Source organism: Homo sapiens, chromosome 3 (genome assembly GCF_000001405.40).
Source record: "Homo sapiens chromosome 3, GRCh38.p14 Primary Assembly".
NCBI classification, from domain to species: Eukaryota; Metazoa; Chordata; class Mammalia; order Primates; family Hominidae; genus Homo; species Homo sapiens.
The window spans coordinates 9285109-9304894 of NC_000003.12; the positions used below are offsets into that span (position 1 = coordinate 9285109).

Genomic DNA, 19786 nt, shown 5'->3' on the forward strand with positions numbered 1-19786 from the left:
TCCACTAGAAGTTTATATGCTTTCATTGTTATCACATACTGGCAATTCCCAACAAAACCAGGGCTAAAATACTTCTCCCTATGTGGGCAGACCATCCTACTGTCCAGAAGCACAGACCGAAGCACCAGGGTCCACTGACGTTAGAGTGGCAGGCTGTGTAGCGAAGAGATGGCCACCATTCTATTGTTTTAGTGATTAATGATGGGGCTCAGAACTTGCTGCTCTAAAATATGACACCTTGGCATTTGAGAAAACAGCAGAAGCAGGAAGGTCTCTCTGACCCCGCTTTTCTCTTCTAAAGCAGGCCATAAAAGAATTCTCCAACCTACCTGTGAGGAGACTCATATTTGAGAGGTATCCTCCCTATACCTGGAGGAAAAAAAATGTCCTCATCTCTGAAGACACAGGGATGCAGAAAAGAATCTGAACAAACAGGCCTTGCTAAGTTTCCCCCAGTTTATTACCATTAGATCTCACACTTACTTGTTCCACAACCATACTTGTCCGTATCTGTCCACTCTTCATCAAACCTAAGCATAAAACCAGTTGTGGTGGCATGTGCCTGTAGTCCCAACTACTCAGGAAGCTGAGGCAGGCAGATTACTTGAGCCTAGGAGTTATTCAAAGTCCAGCCTGGGCAACATAGTGACGCCCCACCTCAAAAAAAAAAAAAAAAGTTAAATGAAAAACAAACCTAAGCATTAAAATACAGAAGTTGGCCAGGTGCAATAGCTCACTCCTGTAATCCCAGCATTTTGGGAGGCTGAGGTGGGAGGATCGATTAAACTCAATCCCAAGAGACCAGCCTGGGCAATACAGTGAGATCTCTTCTCTACTAAAAACAAAGTTTAAAAATTAGCTCAGCTTAGTGACGTGCACCTGTAGTCCCAGCTGCTGGGAGGCTGAAGTGAGTAGACTGCCTGAGCCTGGGAGATCATGGCTGCAGTGAGCTGTGATCATGCCACTGCACTCCAGCCTGGGTGACAAAGCGAGACCCTATCTCAAACACACACACACACACACACACACACACACACACACACACACACACACATTTATCTGTGTCTTGGTCTTCATTTCTGAAGGCTCCTGTGTCACACAACACTTATAATGAATAGATCTGTATACTTTCTTCTCGTTTATCTGTCTTTTGTTATAGAGGCCTCAACCTTGAACCTGGTAATGGGTGAGGAAAGATTTCTTCCAGCATGCCCCCCAACACACACTATTTTAGAAATGTTAACATGGATACATACCAAAATCCAAGGTTGGCTGGGCACGGTGGCTCACACCTATAATCCCTGAACTTTGGGAGGCTGAGGTGGGAGGATCACTTGAGACCAGGAGTTCCAGACCAGCCTGGGCAACACAGCAAGACCCCATCTCTATTTTTTTTTAAATCCAAGATTGATCAGTACCTTAAAAATAACCCCATGAAAAATAAAGACTATGACTCCTAACTTTAGTCACTTTATTTATTTTGTTTTTGTCGTTGTTGTTGTTGTTGTTTTTGAGACGGAGTCTCGCTCTGTCGCCCAGGCTGGAGTGCAGTGGCGCGATCTCGGCTCACTACAAGCTTCGCCTCCCGGGTTCCCGCCATTCTCCTGCCTCAGCCTCCTGAGTAGCTGGGACTACAGGCGCCCGCCACCACACCCGGCTAATTTTTCGTATTTTTAGTAGAGACGGGGTCTCACTGTGTTAGCCAGGATGGTCTCGATCTCCTGACCTCATGATCTGCCTGCCTCAGCCTCCCAAAGTGCTGGGATTACAGGCGTGAGCCACCGCCCCTAGGCTATCTTGTGTTTTTTTAATCTTTCAGGACATCGTTATTATCTTCTAGAGGTAATACTCGTTTGCCTTGTCCACACACTGACACTCTTTTTTTTTTTTTTTTTTTTTTTGGGACAGGGTCTAGCTCTGTCACCCAGGCTGGATTGGAGTACTGCATTTATGGCTCACTGCAGCCTCGACCTCCTGGGCTCAAGCAATCTTCCTACCTCAGCCTCCTGATTAGTTGGGACTACAGGCAGGTGCCACCATGCCTGGCTAATTTTTGTAGTTTTAGTAGAGACAGGGTTTCACCATGTTGCCCAGGCTGGTCTTGAACACCTTGGCTCAAGCGATCCTCCCACCTCACCCTCGTGAACTGCTGGGATGACAGGCGTGAACCACCACACCCCAGCACATTAACACTCTTTTGATCCTCATTTCTTCTTGCATTTTAGTCCTCCTTCTGCTTAAAGTATATTCTTTAGAATTTCCCTTGGAAAGAGTCTACTGGTGACGAGTTCTCTCAGATTTTGCCTGAAAATGTTTTTCCACTTCCTGGTGAATAATATTTTTGTTGCATATATAATCCTACATTCACAGTGATTTTCCCTTAGCATATGTAAGATATTTTAGTGGTTTCTCCCATGTTCTCACTTAGAAGTGGGAGCTAAACAATGGCCACACATGAACTCACAGAGTGAAATAATAGGCAGTGGAGCCTATAAAAGGCAGGAGGGTGAGGTGCAGTAAGCGTTGAAAAACTGTGTATTGGGTACAATGTTCACTATTCGAGTGATGGGTACACTAAAAGCCCAGACTTCAACATTATACAATACATATATGCAAGAAACCTGCACTTGTACCCCCTAAATACATGAAAATTTTAATTTTTTTAAGACTCATTAGTGGTTTGTATTATTGCCATTGAGAAGACAACTGTCAGAATAATCATCGTTCTTTAGAGGTCATCTGTCTTTCACTCTGATTGCTTTAAGATCTTTTCTTTGTCTTGATGTTCTGAAGTTTCATTTGTGATGTATGTAGGTGTGAATTTTTTTTTAATCTATCTTACTTGAGATTTACTGGGCTTCCTGAATGTATGGACAGGTATCTTTCACCAGTACTGAAAAATTCTTAACCACTACCTGTTCAAATATTATCTCCACATTCTTTGTCTCCTCTTCTTATGGAATACTAATTATACATTTCAATATTCAATAAAGCAATATTGAATTGTTTCATTCTATCTTTGTTTTTTTTTTTTTTTTTTCTTTGGAGACAGAGTTTCACTTCTTGTTGCCTAGACTGGAGTGCAATAGCGCAGCCTCGGCTCACTGCAACCTCTGCCTCCCAGGTTCAAGTGATTATCCTGCCTCAGCCTCCCAAGTAGCTAGGATTACAGGCACACACCACCACACCTGGCTAATTTTCATATTTTTAGTAGAGACGGGTTTCACCATGTTAGCCAGTCTAGTCTCAAACTCCTGATCTCGGATGATCTGCCCACCTCAGCCTCCCAAAGTGCTGGGATTGCAGGCATGAGCCACCACATCCAGCCTTGTTTCATTCTATCTTCCAGAGCTCTAGATATTGTTCCAGAACTCTCCCCTAGGTTACTAATTCTCTTCTCAACTTGTCTAATTAACTGTGGAATCTATAATTTTTCATTTGTAGAAGTTATTTTTATAAAATTCACTTTGTCTTTTTTTTTTTTTTAGACAAGTTCTCACTCTGTCACCCAGGCTGGAGTACAGTGTGTGATCAGAGCTTACTGCAGCCTCCAACTCCTGGGCTCAAGTAATCCTCCTGTCTCAGCCTCCCAAGTAGTTGGGACTATAGTGCATGTCACCACACCCAGCTAATTTTTTAAATTTTTTGTAGAGACAGGGGTTCCACTATTTTGCCCAGGCTGGTCTTGAACTCCTGGGCTCAAGTGATTCTCTTACCTCAGCCTCCCAAAGTGCTGGGATTACAGGTATGAGCCACTATGCCTGGCCACACATTGTCATTTTTCCAGTTTAATTCTTTCTTTTTTTCAGATGGAGTCTCGCTCTGTCACCCAAGGTGGAGTTCAGTGGCGTGATCTTGGCTAACTGCAACCTCCACCTCCTGGATTCAAGCGATTCTCCTGCCTCAGCCTCCCAAGTAGCCGGGACTACAGGCATGCGCCATCAAGCCTGGCTAATTTTTTGTATTTTTTAGTAGAGATGGGGTTTTACCACGTTGATCATGGTAGTCTAGAACCCCTGACCTCAAGTGATCCACCCACCTCAGCCTCCCAAAGCGCTGGGATTACAGGCGTGAGCCAGCATGCCTGGCCTAGTTTACCTAGTTTAATTCTTTATTCACAATTTTATTTCTGATTTCTTTTAACATATTCGAATACTTCTTTTATATTCTGTGACTGATAATTATACCATCTGCAGTCTCCATGGATCTGATTCTGCTATCTGTTGTTTCTGCTGGCTCAATACTTGTTGCCTTGCTTCCCTGTAATTTTTCACCATGAATTGAAATCTCTTAAAACTTCATCAAAATGAATTCCTTGAGATCTGGGAAAAGACAAGTTCTTCTATGGGATATGCATTTGTTTCTGCTAGGCATCTTAAGAACACTACTAGTCTAACATCACTTTGGTTGTGTGAATTCATGTTATAGATCCTCGTAACAGTTTACTTGTAGTTACAAATTCTCAGAGATTTTTTTTGGGGGGGCCCTACAACCAGCCCCGATGTTCAAGACAGACAATTGTTTTTATCCTTTAGGTGACAGATTTATTTCCAAATCACCCTCACACTAAATTACCATTACACTTGGCTATTTAAGGACATAACTTTATGGGAGGGGTCCTATTAGACCCTTACCTTGGACAGGTTCTGGGCTTCATCTTCTGTCTCCCGTAACTGAGACAATGAAAAAAACCAAAGCTCAAAACTCACCCAGTTCAGGCTGGGAATGGTGGCTCATGCCTGTAATACCAGCACTTTGGGAGGCTGAGGCAGGCAGATCACTTGAGGTCAGGAGTTTGAGACCAGCCTGGCCAACATGGTGAAGAAACCCTGTCTCTACTAAAAATACAAAAATTAGCCGGGTGTCATGGTAAACAACTGTAGTCCCAGCTACTCAGGAGGCTGAGACAGGAGAATCGCTTGAACTCAGGAGGCAGGGGTTGCAGCGAGCTGAGATTGTGCCACTGCACTCCAGCCTGGGCGACAGAGCAAGACTCGGTCTTAAAAAAAAAACCACCATCACCCAGTTCAGCAAGTGTCTATGAAGCAAACACAAGCCAGTTTGGGGCCCTGCTTACCTTTCTTCATTTTTGGCCTCTGAGTATTTCTTCATAACTTGCTAGCTCACTAACATATTTTTAATGGTTTTAAATGTTATCCAGAATTTTTAGTTGTTTACAACAGGAGGATAAGTCAAGGTATCTTTTCTGCCATACTGCAAGAAATGAAAGTCCACATCAAAGTATGTGCTATGTAAATGATGAATGGTCTGATGTTGTTTGGTTACATAGGACAGGTGTGTGGGGGGACAGCAAGATTGGAGCTGGAGATGCACCTGAAAAGCTCAGTAGGGACTAGGCAATGAGGGGCCCTAAATGTCATTTGACATTCGAACCTTATCCAGTAGGTAATGGAGGGACTTCCAAATTCAGATCACAAGGTTCATAAAGTTTTTTATATTATTGTTTCCTTTCAAGTAGTGTTTCTCAAAGTGTGGTCCAAGCTCTACCCTCTTCAGAATCCTCTAACTCACTTATCAAAACTTGCAGATCCAAGCTATACCCCAAACCTACTGAATCAGTATCCCTAGGGAGTGAGTGTTAGAAGGGGGGAATTCTCAAGACCCACAATTTTAACAAGCTTGCAAGTAAACCTTATGCACACTAAACTCCCAGAGCCGTGAGTCAGAGCAATGCTTTCCTAACAGCTAATGAGACCACTAGCAAGATGGGAAATCATTTTTAATGAGCTAAAATAGAATGAAAACTCTCAGAGTATATATCTTGCTATAAGGATGTGTATTATTTCACAAAACTTTTGTTGTGGTGGTAGTGGTGATGGTGTGTGTGTGTACGTGTGTTCTGGGCTAAGCTATAAAATGTGTTTTATGTGCTGAGGTCAAAAAAGAGAGGCATTGCCTTGGAGGATGCCCTTTATATTCTTTTTAATCACACTTTACCGATAAATAAAATATTAAGAGGAAAAGGAGTGCAATAAAATTCCCCCCTGAATAACTCCTTCCTGTAGCATGCAGGCTCACATTGATGTGTATACATGATCAATTCATCTCGGCACTTTCTGACTCAAAGTAAAGTGATGAAAAGCATCTCAATGAACATGGTATGGTGAAAGCATGCTGCGAATTGTCACCTATTCCACAAGCGTTTTCTTATTTGCCTGAAGAGATTACAAAACCTGTGTTCCCGCTCTCATTACATCTCAGCAGCCCTGTATTTAAGGAGATAAGGTATCACAAAATCCTGGCACAACTGGCACAAAGTACCATGTGAGTCCCTTTGCTGTACAGGATTTCGTTATACTGAGCACTGCTTCCACCAACGGGTCACAGGTTGTAGCCTGGAATACATTTTATTTGGATACTTTTTTCCTTGCTCTTGTATTTGCTGCAATGGTGTATATATCTATGGTCTATTCTCCCAAAAAACAATCAATAAGCAAGGACAAATACAAATGCATCCATTCATGCATCAACACCACACACACACACACACACACACACACACACACGCACACACATTTGTTGTCTTAAATATATTTCACAAATTTCATTCACTCAGTGTCTTTATTATGTTTTCCATTTCTACATACCTCTGGCACTACTATTTACCTTTCTTCTTTAAATCGAATCAGATTTTTATATAAATAAGATTTTCATAAAAAATAGTTTATACCCTTTCAGCAAATGGAAAATTAGTTTCACTTGCCAAAAAAAAGAAGGCAACTGTAAAAATAAATGTAAGACAGAGTGAGCCAAATTATCACACTCAACTTAAGTTCTATTGCCAGCCAAAGCCCAGAAACTAAATAGAGCCTCTTCTCTTTGTCCAAAAGAAAAAGAGATGTGGCTGTTTCTCATTAAAGCCCTACTAGGATCAAACTGAGTGTTTTCCCATGATGTTAACAGAAGGCATAAGAGATTGGAAAAGGAAATAACTTTCTTGGTAGTGATTCTGTTTTGTTTTTAGGCTGAACAGATACCTCTTGGAATCACCTACTGTTGCATTCGCATCTCAGACTTTGAGAAACAATGACATAGATCTTTGGTTCTCAAACTGTAGCGTGCATCAGAATCCCCCAGAGGGCCCGTTAGAACACAGATGGCTGTGCCTCATCCTTTGAGTTTCTGACTCAGTAGGCAAAGCCCAAGAATTTGTATTTCTAACGAGTTCCCAGATGGGGCTGATGCTGTTGATTGAGACCACACGTTGAGAACCACTGCATAGATCAATCCTATACATCGTTCAAAACCCTGCTTGGGTGAGTCCTTCCTTTTCTGCCCTCCATGAAGCCTTCTCTGCCTTCTCTATCCACCTTACACTTCCAAAATAGTCACTTATTGTCCATCTCATTGATTCCTATTCTTTTCACTCAAAGCAAACATTTTATTATTCTCATTTCACAAATCCCATGCTTTGAAATGTTTTTTGTCTATCAAATAAAAGACATTTATCAAGTAATAATTAATTCATTTTCTCATGTTTTATTAATCAAAGACAACGGTAACTGCCAATCAGATCTTCCAGTCAGCATGGGGTAACTGGTGTTTCTAGCCCCGAGCAAAGAAACCTGATGTTTTCTTTTAATTAGCCTGTGCATCTAATATCTAGCAAATATGAGCTCTTTGGATTAGTCTTTTTGAAGTACTGCAAATAGCTCATAAGCACCCCTTCCTTCTCCCCCCATTACTGCTCTCTAAGACCCTTGGGAGCCTGGGAGCTCAGGTTGGGACCACCTGGTATATATCATTCATCTGGTCATTAATCTCTGATTGTCTTCTGTCATTTCTTCTATTGTTGTCCCTTAAGAGTACAATGGGGCTGCATCTGACTCTTCTTTGTAAACTGTACAGTACCTTGCTCAGGGCTTTAGATTTAGCAGCTGAAAAAAAAAAGAAAGAAAGAAAGAAAGAAAAAAGAAAATGAAAAAAAAAACCCACCCACTGCTGATTTCAAATATGTTTGACTATATCACAATTGCATCCAGGGGAGAGCAACACAATAAAAGAATATTTGCAGTAAAACAGACCTGTATTGTAAATAGGAGAGTTAAATTCCAAAGTTACCCTTTGTGGGAGGAAAATGAGTCAACAAAACAATGGCCTTTCCAGGGTTGGTAAAGAGACCTGAAAATATCCACTTGCCTGGGTAACTTCACCAGGAGATGATTCCATTTGATTGCTCTGACTGGTGCCTCCTGGAAGGCTGGTAAAGGGGAAATGTTTGAAATGAGTACAACTTAATCACAAACGGACAAACTGAGGATGTGGACTGATGGTAAGATCTTAATGACTCAGAAATATCTGTCTTCCTCGAGAATACGTGACTCTTTCTTTTTCCAAAACTCTGCTTAAAACTGCTGTCCTGATCTAATTAAACTAAAGACCTTCTGCACAACAAAAGAAACTATCAACAGAGTAAACAGACTTAAAGAATGGAAGAAAATTTTTGCAAACCATGCATCCGACAAAGGTTTAATATCCAGCATCTATAAGGAACGTAACAAATTTACAAGAAAAAACAAACAACCCCATTAAAAAGTGGGCAAAGGACATGAACAGACACTTCTCAAAAGAAGACATACATGCAGCCAACAAACATACGAAAAAAAATCTCAGCAGCATTGATCATTAGAGAAATGCAAATCAAAACCACAATGAGATATCATCTCACATCAGTCAGAATGGCTACTATTAAAAATTCAAAAAATAACAGATGCTGGAGAGGTTATGGAGAAAAAGAAACACACACTGTTGGTGGGAATGTAAATTAGCCCAACCATTGTAGAAGACAGTGTAGCAATTCCTCAAAGACCTAAAGAAAGAAACACCATTCAACCCAACAATCCCATTACCGGTTATATACCCAAAGGAATATAAATCATTCTCTTATAAATACACATGCACACATACATTTGTTGCAGCATTATTCCAATAGCAAAGACATGGAATCAACGTAAATGCCCATCAATGATAGACTGGGTAAAGAAAATGTGGTATACACCATGGAATACTATGCAGCCATAAAAAAGAATGAGATCCATACACACCATAGAATACTATGCAGCCAAAAAAAGAATGAGATCATGTCCTTTGCAGGGACATGGATGGAGCTGGAGGCCATTATCCTTAGCAAACTAGTGCAGAAACAGAAAACCAAATACTGCATGTTCTCACTTACAAGTGGGAGCTAAATGATGAGAACACATGGTCACATAGAGGGAAACAGCACACACTGGGGCCTATCAGATGGTGGATGGTGGGAGGAGGGAGAGGATCAAGAAAAATAACTAATAGGTACTAGGCTTAATACTTGAGTGATGAAATAACCATAAAACAAACTCCCATGACACACATTTACCTATGTAGCAAACCTGCACATGTATCCTGGAACTTAAAATAAAAGTAAAAAAACAAACAAACAAACAAAAAAAAACACCAATTCTTGCAAGCCATCCTTGGTGGGAATGACCACCACCCACACCTGCTTGATTCGGACCACATTTTATTCTAAATTCCCTTAGCAATATGAACTCACTGCATGTTGCATTGAAATTGCTATTGAAGCTTTCGTGTGTGTGTGTGTGTGTGTGTGTGTGTGTGTGTGTGTGTGTGTGTTTGGGAGGGCATCCTTCTCCTCTCCAAAGAAACAGCTCCCCCCACCTGTGACACAGACTTGACTATTACACAGTAATCTCTTTATTTGATGACCTGCTTATGCCAGGCATCTTCTTCCAAATGCCAAATGCCAATAAAATAAGCTATTATCTATCATCAATCTGTTAGTGTTCCTTCCTGCCCTTCGTTGATGAATGGGATGCTCCAATATTATTGCTAGCATTGCTTTGAATAGTTCCACGAAGGAAACTCCTAGGAAATCTTTTGGCTACTTGTTGACTCTGGAAAAGATGCAAAAAGTGAGGTTTGGGGTTGTTGTTTTACTTGTTACAAAGGCTTATTAGATTTAGCTAATTATACAGCTTATCAAAGTAAAAGATCTTATGGGTGCCATCTGATGGCCTTCCCCATCACTCATGCCTGATTGAATAACAGGGTTAAAATCCAAGGAGCTCTTCCTCTAATGAAGTTTCTGCTCTGGTCTGTTGCTATGGCAACTTAGGACTGTAGTACAAGATGACAGCAAATATATTAAATATTGCTGCAAATCTATTCTCTTCATTCTTTAGTGACCTCAGAACCAAAACTGTTTTACAGCATGGAAGTTTTGAAGAAGTGTTGTGCCTGCTGTTTTTCTTCCTCTCCTCAACATGAAAACCTACCATATCTCTACACTCTAGCATCGTGCCATCCAGGTAGCAGGCATGCAAAATACATTTCAGGGGAATTCGTTGTGATTGGTGGATTAACCACACACATTTATTTCTTCATCCTGAGAGCCCACTAAAATGACAGCAAAGGCATAAAAAGACATACAGACAAGGAAAATGGAAAATAATGTCACAATGGGCAAGAGATTTCCATTTTTTAGCTCTTTTTTTCTATCGTGGTAAAATACACATAACATAAATTTTACCATTTTAACCATTTTTAAGTGTACAGTTCAATGACATTAAGTATATTCATATCATTGTGCAACTATCACTACCATCCATCTCCAGAATGGAGATTTTCATCATCCCAAACTGAAACTCTGTACCCATTAAACACGAACTCCCCATTCTCCTCTTCCCCAGCCTCTGGTAACCTCTATTCCACTTTCTCTATGTATTTGACTAATCTAGACACTTCATGTAAGAGGAATCATATACATATACCCTTTTGTACCTGGCTTATTTCAATTAACATCATGTCTTCAAGGTTCATCCAACTTGCTGTATTTATCAGAATTCCTTCCTTTTGAGGCTGAATAATATTCATTGTATACTTAGAGCACATTTTCTTTATCCATTCATCCACTGATGGATGTCTGGTGCTGTTTCCACTTTTTGGTTATTGCAAAGAATGCTGCTATGAACATTAGTATCTAAATATTTGTTCAAGTTCATACTTTCAGTTCTTTTGTGTACATACCCAGAAGTCAAATTACTGGATCATGTGGTGATTTTATATCTAATTTTTTGAGGAACAATCATACTGTTTTCCATAATGGCTGTACCATTTTACATCCCCAACAGCAATGCGCAAGGGTTCCAGTTTCTCCACACACAGGCCAATGCTTATTGTTTTCTGTTTTTGATAATAGTCATCCTAATGGATGTTGGTGGTGTCTCACTGTGTCTTCAGTTTGCATTTCCCTAGGGATTAGTAATGTTGAACATCTTTTCATGTGCTTATTGGCCATTTATCCCATTCATTTCTAGAAGATGGAAAACAGATGGAGGAATGGTAGCCATCTTGGCAGAGTAAGGGAAGCCTAATGAGTCTTCTCTGACTTAGATTCTTTTTGTAGAAATGGTACATATTCATTCTTCACTGGGTCCCCAGAGGCAGTGTGGAAGCATAATAGTTAAGAGTACAGGTTCTGGATTCAGATTGCCTGAATGCTCAGCTTGGCTCTGCCACTTCTTATCAGCAGAATGAATTTGGGCAGGTTAACTCACCACCCTGCCTCAGTTTCCCCATATGTAAAATAGGAAACATAATACTACCAAATAGATTTATTGTGAGAATAACATGTGTAAAGCACTTAACATTGTGCCTAGCACACAGCACACATCCCTGAAGTATTAGTGATTATTATCATCCCCTATTATGGAACCATATCCATCAGGATATGCCACCTCTACCACCTTTAGTTTTGTTTTTGTTTTTGTTTTTTGAGACAGGGTCTTGCTCTGTCACCCAGGCTAGCGTACAGTGGTGCAATCACAGCTTACTGCAGACTCAACCTCCCAGACTCAAGTGATCCTCCTACCTCAGCCTCCAAGGTAGCTGGGACTACAGGTGTGCACCACCGCACCCAGCTAATTTCTTTATTTTTTGTAGAAACAAGGTCTCACTATGTTTCCCAGGGTGGTCTTGAACTCCTGGGTTCAAGCAAATCCCTGCTGCCTTTCACTGTCCTTCCAAAAAGATCATTATGATTGAGTTACGGGTTAACAGACACAGAACACATAACTGGAATCCAAGCCCTGTTCCTCAGGTTAGAAAGAGCTATGTCCTAAATACAAAGCTATGCAGGCCCAGTGTCCTCCTCCACCTTGCTATTTTCCTGCTTGGGGCAAAAACTAAAGACACTTGTGGGTAAGAATAATATACAGGGTAGTTAATAGCAGGAGCTTGAAGTCAGGCAAATTTGGGTTAAAGTCTGACTTCCCACCTATTATCTACATGAGGATAAACTAATTACATAATATTATAGGCTGAATTGTGTGTCTCCAAAATGCACATGTTGAAATCCTAACTCCTAGTACCTCAGAATGTGACTAAATTTGGAGACAGAGTCTTTTAACAAGATAATTAAAATAAGGTCATTCAGGTGGACCCTAATCCAACATGACCTGTTTCCTTAAAAAAAAGAGAAAATTAGGGCCAGGCACGGTGACCCACGCCTATAATCCCAGCACTTTGGGAGCCCGAGGCAGATGGATCACTTGAGGTCAGGAGTTCGAGACCAGCCTGGCCAACGTGGTGAAACCCCATCTCTACTAAAAATGCAAAAATTAGCTGGGCATTGTGGCGTGTGCCTGTAGTCCCAGCTACTCAGGAGGCTGAGGCACGAGAATCGCTAGAACCCAGGAGGCAGAGGTTGCAGTGAGCCAAGATGGCACTACTGCACTCTAGCCTGGGCAACAGAGTGAGACTCAGTCTCAAAAAAAAAAAAAGAGAAAGAGAGTATGAAAATTAGGACATAGATGTGCATTGAAGGAAGACTATGTGAAGACCAAGGAATAAGAAGGCCACCTACACGCCAAGGAGATAAGCCTCAGAAGACACCAACCCTGCTGACACCTTGATCTTGGACTTTTAGCATCCAGAATTGTGAGAAAATTAATGTCTGTTGCTTACACCACCTAGTCAGTAGTACTTACAGTTATGGCAGCCTTAGCACACTAATACACTTGACCTCAGTTTTCTGAAAGATAAAATAGGAATATATATATCTCGTGAGATAACTGTATTAAATTGTGGAGAAATGTACTTACCATAGTGCTTGGCACACAGTATGTGCTCAAGAAATGTAGGTTAGTAGGATTATTGTTTTATTATTATTACTATTAAAACATAATTACTCTGGTCTTTCCACAGTAACAGAAGGAAAAAGAGAAGCTAGCTGACTAACTCAACTAGAATTATCCATGACTTCATAATTCATCATCATGTCTTTAGTCTTGCTCTCTTCAAAACACCCTACATAATGCTGCCAGAACATTCTTCCCTATAAAAATCTGGCTGTGATAGCTAGTATCCAAAGATGGCCAAACAATTCCACCCCTCCCTGTATGCACATGCCCCTCCTTCTACCAGAAATGGATCCTATGTACCCTTTCCATAAATCTTGTAACCATTTGACCAGTACAATGCAGAGGAAATGATGTCCTGGGACTTTCAGGTTTAGGCATTAAGAAGGCCTGGCAGCTTGAGCCACCAAGGACGGGCTACTCTGCTGGAGAGAGTGGTCACAGGGAAAGACCTAGAAGGATTTAGATAGAGAGAGAAATAGCAGCCACATGAAAAAACATTAAGGCCAGGTGGCATGGCTCATGCCTGTAATCTCAGCATTTTGGGAGGCCGAGGCAGGCAGATCACTTGAGGCCAGGAGTTTGAGACCAGCCTGGCCAACATGGTGAAACCCCATCTCTACTAAAAATAGAAAAATTAGCCGGGCGTGGTGGTGGGTACCTGTAATCCTGGCTACTCGGGAGGCTGAAGTGGGAGAATCGCTTGAACCAGGGAGGCAGAAGTTGCAGTAAGCTGAGATCATGCCACTGCACTCCAGCCTGGGTGACAGAGTGAGACTCCATCTCAAAAAAAAAAAAAAAAAAAGAAAATAGATGGCTGGGCATGGTGGCTCACACCTGTAATCACAGCACTTTGGGAGGCCGAGCCGGATGGATCACGAGGTCAGGAGATCAAGATCATCCTGGCCAACACAGTGAAACCCTGTCTCTACTAAAATACAAAAAATTAGCTGGGCATGCTGGTGCATGCCTGTAGTCCCAGCTACACGGGAGTCTGAGGCAGGAGAATTGCTTGAACTCGAGAGGCGGAGACTGCAGTGAGCCAAGATCGCGCCACTGCACTCCAGCCTGGTGGCAGAGCGAGACTCCGTCCCAAAAAAAAAAAAAAAAAGAAAAGAAAAGAAAAGAAACTTCAAGATAGTAGACATCCAGCCCCAACTAGCATCCCCATCCACCATGTTACTGCCACTGCAAAAGCCAGACTAGTGGAAGAACAACCCAGCTGAGCCCCAGCCAACCCACAGAATCATGAGCTATCATAAAACGCTGGTGGTAGGCAAGTACGTTTTTGGTGGTTTATTATACAGCTAAAAATAACTGAAACACTGATCATGTTGCTGCTCTACTTAAGATCCTTGGCTCGGCCAGGTGAGGTGGCTCACGCCTGTAATCCCAGCACTTTGGGAGGCTGAGGCAGGTGGATCATCTGAGCTTAGGAGTTCGAGACCAGCCTGGCCAACATGGTGAAACCCCATCTCCACTAAAAATACAAAAATTAGCCAGGCATGGTGGCACACACCTGTAATCCCTGCTACTCAGGAGGCTGAGGCAGGAGATTGAACCTGGGAGGCGGAGGTTGCGGTGAGCCAACATCACACCAGTGCACTCTAGCCTGGGCGACAGAGTGAGACTCTATCTCAAAAACAAACAAACACCCTTAGCTCTCCATAGCCAAATTTCTCAGGGCTCACAAGGAACCTTCACAAGCTATGTGACTTTGGCATGTTACTTCATCTCTCTGCAACATTTTTCCCATATGTAAACTGAGGTAATGATAGCACCTTCCTCAAAGGATTGCCATGAAAATTAAGAGATAATGTATGAGAAATACTTGGAACAATGTCTGGCATACGCTAAGTGCTCTATATGTGTTAGCCACCATCGTCACCACCACCATCATCATCTTCATCATCACCACCATCATCACCACCACCAACAACACTATCATCAACTTGTGCTGCCTGACTCTCCAGCCCCTTTCCTTAATCTCTCCTCATGTGCACTCTGGAGTACAGTCATACTAAAATATTTTTCCCCAAAACTTCACACTTCACAACTCTTTACCTTTGTACATTCCATTTCTTCTGCCTGGAATGTCCTTTACCCACCTTGCCTGCCTGAGAAATTGCCATCTGTCCTTCTGTGACGCTTCCTCACATCTCCCCAGACAGTGAGGCATCTGCCCCTGTGCTCCTTTGGGCACCTCGCCCTTGTCTCTGTGGAGAGGCTTCCCATCTTTGCCACCTGTGTGGGCCTTGTCTCCTCAGCTAGACTCTGAATTGTTTAAGGACAGAGCCAGGGCTTGATTCATGAGCCAGCAAAGCATGGCATATACCAAGCTCTTAAGATGTGTTCCAGGAAGGGAAGGAGGAAGGAGTCTGCTTTTGGAGTAGTGGTTCTCAACAGAAGGGAGAGAGGGGAGAAATTTTGTCCCCCAGGAGATATTTCATGATGTTTGAAGACATTTTTGGTTGTCATGCAACAGAGTGGGAGAAGGAAGTGTTACTGGAAACCAGTGGGTGGTGGGTAGTGGACAAATATTGTGCTCAGCATCAGACAATGCACAGGACCGCTGCCACAACAAGGAATGATCCAACCCTAAATGTCTGGGCTATGCTGAGGTTGAGAAGTCTTGTTTTAGAGGATAATCACATGCTGGGGAGGGGAAGAAAGAGACACCTGACTGAATGCACAAGCTTAGCAACCTGGCTGCCCACTCCCACCCCTCCCAGCTCAGCACCTCTGGGAGCAGAGGGTACCAGGAAGGTATGGAAGTTAAAAAAGGGCTTAAATCTGGTCACCTTCCTTCCTCTCAATGTGATCCTCATCAAGACCCTTCCCTTGGTGAAGTTTCGTTTTTTAACTTCCTACAGCCTCTTCCGGCCCTGACTTTCTGGGATTCTGCATTTGTAGGTTGGTTCCTGTTGTTTCATTCATGGCCAAAAGATGTCAATGCTGCACAGACTCTCACATGCCAAGAGAGGACAAATCCCAGATAGACTGGCCTGAGTCACTGAGCCCTTGCATTACATCCGGGATGGCCCAGAAGTTAAGTTAACGCACATGCCTGAGATGCAGGTCCCCCGCCTGCCCAGATGGGTGGCCTTGAGGTTCAGAAGAAACAGGAAGAGGGGAAGGTGGCCCTTAAAGGCTCCATGGCTAACTTAGCTTTAATGTGTAGAGGCCTCTGTGTCAGTCAAAGCACTTTGCAGGGGAGCAGGGAGACATCTGTAAAATTCTCTCTTTTGTGCCACGTAAGAGCAGAAAGAAATCTCACTCTACAGACCATGGTTTCTGTAAGGGGTGGGTCCTGTAGAATTACAGTGAGCACGGCTGATGCCTGTGGCTCCTTTGGGAGCCTGTGTTTGTTGAGGGGCTGTGTTTGTTGTTTTTAACTGGCTTCAAGAGGAGGTAGAATATTGAGTAGTAGTAAAAAGCTTCATCTTTGGCACCAGACAGGAATGAGCGTGGGACGCACTTCTGTCATTAACTGCGTGACCTGGGATAAATGACTTAATCTTGTGTAAGCCTCAACCATGAGAGAGGAACAATAATAGTACCTACTTCACAGGGTTGATCTGCGGATTAATTGAGATCATGGAAATCACAGGTTTCGCATACTGCCTGGCATAACTGCCAATAAACGGCAGTTGTTACTCTGAAAGGATATTGTGGGGTGAGTGAATAGGCGAGGAGTATGATGAATCATCCTGAAATTCTCACCTAAACTCTTCTATCCAGGTAGGGTGCTGGTGAGTCGTCTTGCCGAGAGCTAACATTTTTATTGTGCTTATCATGTGCTTACAACCGTCCTCAGTGCCTTATGTACGTTCACCGAGTCCCCACGGTGACCCAATGAGGTAAGTATTACTATTCCCATTTTAGAGATGGGAAACTTAGTGAGCCCCCAGGGCCCACTGCTGGGTAAGGGGAGGCCAAGGGTTTCCGCGAAGGCAGTTTGACTCCAGGGGCCCTGGCCTTAGCAGTGCATACACTGCTTCTGACTGCAGCTAGAGACGAATGAGAAACGGGAGGGTGCGTCCCTGGGTATCCCCCTCACCCCTCCCCAGCCTGCCTAAACGCTTGCCCTGCTCCCAAACACTCGCTCTACTCCTAGATAGTGGAGCTTTGCGACAGCTCGGCAGAGAAGCACTTCGCTCTGCCCAGCTGCAGCCAGGCATGACATGGTGTCTGCAAGGAAGGGGCTCAGGTGGGCGTGGGGAGCTAGGTCAGGATGCCGCAGGGAGGTAAGAGGCAAATGGGATTCGTCACTGGATAAACTGGGACTCCGCCCCAGCACCACCTGGAGCCTGTGGGTGGCTCTGAGCCCAGGGACATACTCTCGCAGAGCTTTATTTCTCTCCCTCTAAAATGAGAGCTTAGACACGCTCAAAACCCCTGCTGGCTGTAGAACGCCAGGTTCTTGCAGTGAGGAAGGGCTAGCGTCTGCCGCGGGGTGGGTCTTGGCCGGATCCTATCCCGGGGGAAGAGCGCCACCTGGCGAACCGCTCTGAGAATGTCCCAGAACAGCCACTAGGAACAGTCTCCCGGGTACAAGGGGGAGAGGCTCTGCAATCCGAGCAAGGGGCTTCAGTTCTCTGAACCTCAGAATTCGAATGGGTAAAATGACACCGAAGAATGGCAACGAAGATAATACTTAAAGTACCTAATATCTCCCACCACCACCTTTTGTCACCACTTTTGAAATAGTAAATGGTTATAAACCAATGTAGATGATAAATTCTAGAAGTTATACAGCATTTGTTCTGAGCACTCTGACAAGCTGTAACACTGCCTCGATTTTTTCTTACTTATATTTTTTCCTTTACATTTGTTTGTTTGTTTGTTTGTTTGTTTTTAATTGTGGCAAGAACACGTGCCAGGCGCGGTGGCTCATGTCTGTAATCCCAGCACTTTGGGAGGCCTAGGCGGGCAGATTACTTGAGGCCAGGAGTTCAAGACCAGCCTGGCCAACATGGTAAAACCCCATCTCTACTAAAAGTACGCAAATTAGCTGGGCATGGTGGCGCATGCCTGTAGTCCCAGCTACTGAGGAGGCTGAAGCAGGAGAATTGCTTGAACCCGGGAGGTGGAGGTTGCAGCAAGCTGAGATCGCACCACTGCACTCCAGCCTGGGCGACAGAGTGAGACTCCATCTCAAAAAAAAAAAAAAAAGAACACTTAACATAAGACCTACCCTCTTAATGGATTTTCCAGTACACAATACAGCAGTATTAACTATATACTACACCTATATAGAGATCTCTAAAACTTAATCATCTTGCATACCTGAAATTTTATCCTTGTTGATTTAGCTAACACTTTTTGAGTGTTTGTGATGTGATAAGCCTTGTTCTAAGCATTTTATTTATATTAATTTATTTAATCTTCAAAATAGCCATGAGGAAGGTATAGAATGACTGCTCAAGTCACTGGCTTAATCCACAAGAGACTGCACCAATTTGAAAAGTCTACAATAATAACATTTGGAAGGCGATTTACACTTGATAAACATTACTTCATTTAATCCACACAACAGCCTGTTAAGATCAACATTATCTTCATCTTAAAATAAGGAAACTGAAGACCACTCAGTCAACACACATCTGCCTACAGTGTGCTGGGCCCTGGGGTGCACATGAACAAGGTGTTTGGGGTCCCCATGCCCTTGAGTGAGACTTGAGTAAGTACTCCTGAACTGAGTGTACAACGGGGGAAATCTAGGCACCACACAAAATCACAAGAGCTATAATAACTTCGTCTGGAAGGGGAGACGTTTCACAAACAATTCTGTCCAGGGTCGCACTGCTGCCAAGCTCTGTGCCTGCCTGTGGTACGGGACCCCATGTACGACTTACAGACCAGTTAGTCCACAACAGTAACTTCCCCTTCAGCACCTGAGCTCCTTAAGAACAGTGCCTGTGTCCTAATCACCTGCATAACCCAACACCCAGCAGAGAGCCTGGCACGTGGGGGTTGCCCATAAACACTTGCCTAATGAAAGCTCTGTTCTTCTTCATGCCCACTTGCCCTCCCTCCTTTCTTTCCCCAGACCTTCCTTTTATTCTCAGCAATCCAGAGATTAGACTTTGGCTCCTTAGCACAGTCTCCTGCCATAATTCTCAAACCCAGAGTAGTTACAAGAACGGTAGAATGAAAATGGTATCGGGGAGGGGAGTGGAACTAGTAGGTCTTAGACATTCACTCTGTGCTCAGCATTCTATCTTTAGCATCTTAAATCTAACAGCAGCCCTGGTGGGTAGGTAGTAAATGGCAGAGCTGGGATTTTACTCTGACGCCCAGGTTCACCATGTTCTGCTGCCCTTGGCTCTCTCCTCCAAGCTACAGCGAGTGGCCGGTGCTGTTGTCAGTGAGGGATAAAGCTCAAAGCCTCCCATTTGGGCTTCTCCCCCTCCGCACTAGGACCTCCCCAAAACCAGGAGTTTCTTCCAGAGGTCGTATGCTCACTCCCTGAGGGCCTGGGATGCATCTTCCCAGGGCTTCCCATTTCCAATTTTGAGTCCCTTATTCCTGAAGAAACTCCCAGGGGACAGGTATTCAGGGACAGTCCACTGGGTTGCAACAGCTAATGAAACTGACATCTGACAGATACCATTCTCCACCTGCTC

General features: G+C 43.3%; 1 protein-coding gene across 1 annotated transcript in view, besides 1 other annotated feature; it reads right to left on the bottom strand.

The window, feature by feature from the left end:
* The window catches only part of SRGAP3 (SLIT-ROBO Rho GTPase activating protein 3), a 382437-nt gene that overhangs the window by 304518 nt on the left and 58133 nt on the right, over window positions 1–19786 (bottom strand). The window lies entirely within an intron of this gene.
* Window positions 17643–17752: a silencer, noted in NCBI's record as "silent region_14032". NCBI's record gives its function as "represses an Ori minimal core promoter by ATAC-STARR-seq in GM12878 lymphoblastoid cells {active_cell/tissue: GM12878}" and the evidence as "EXISTENCE:reporter gene assay evidence [ECO:0000049][PMID:35858748]".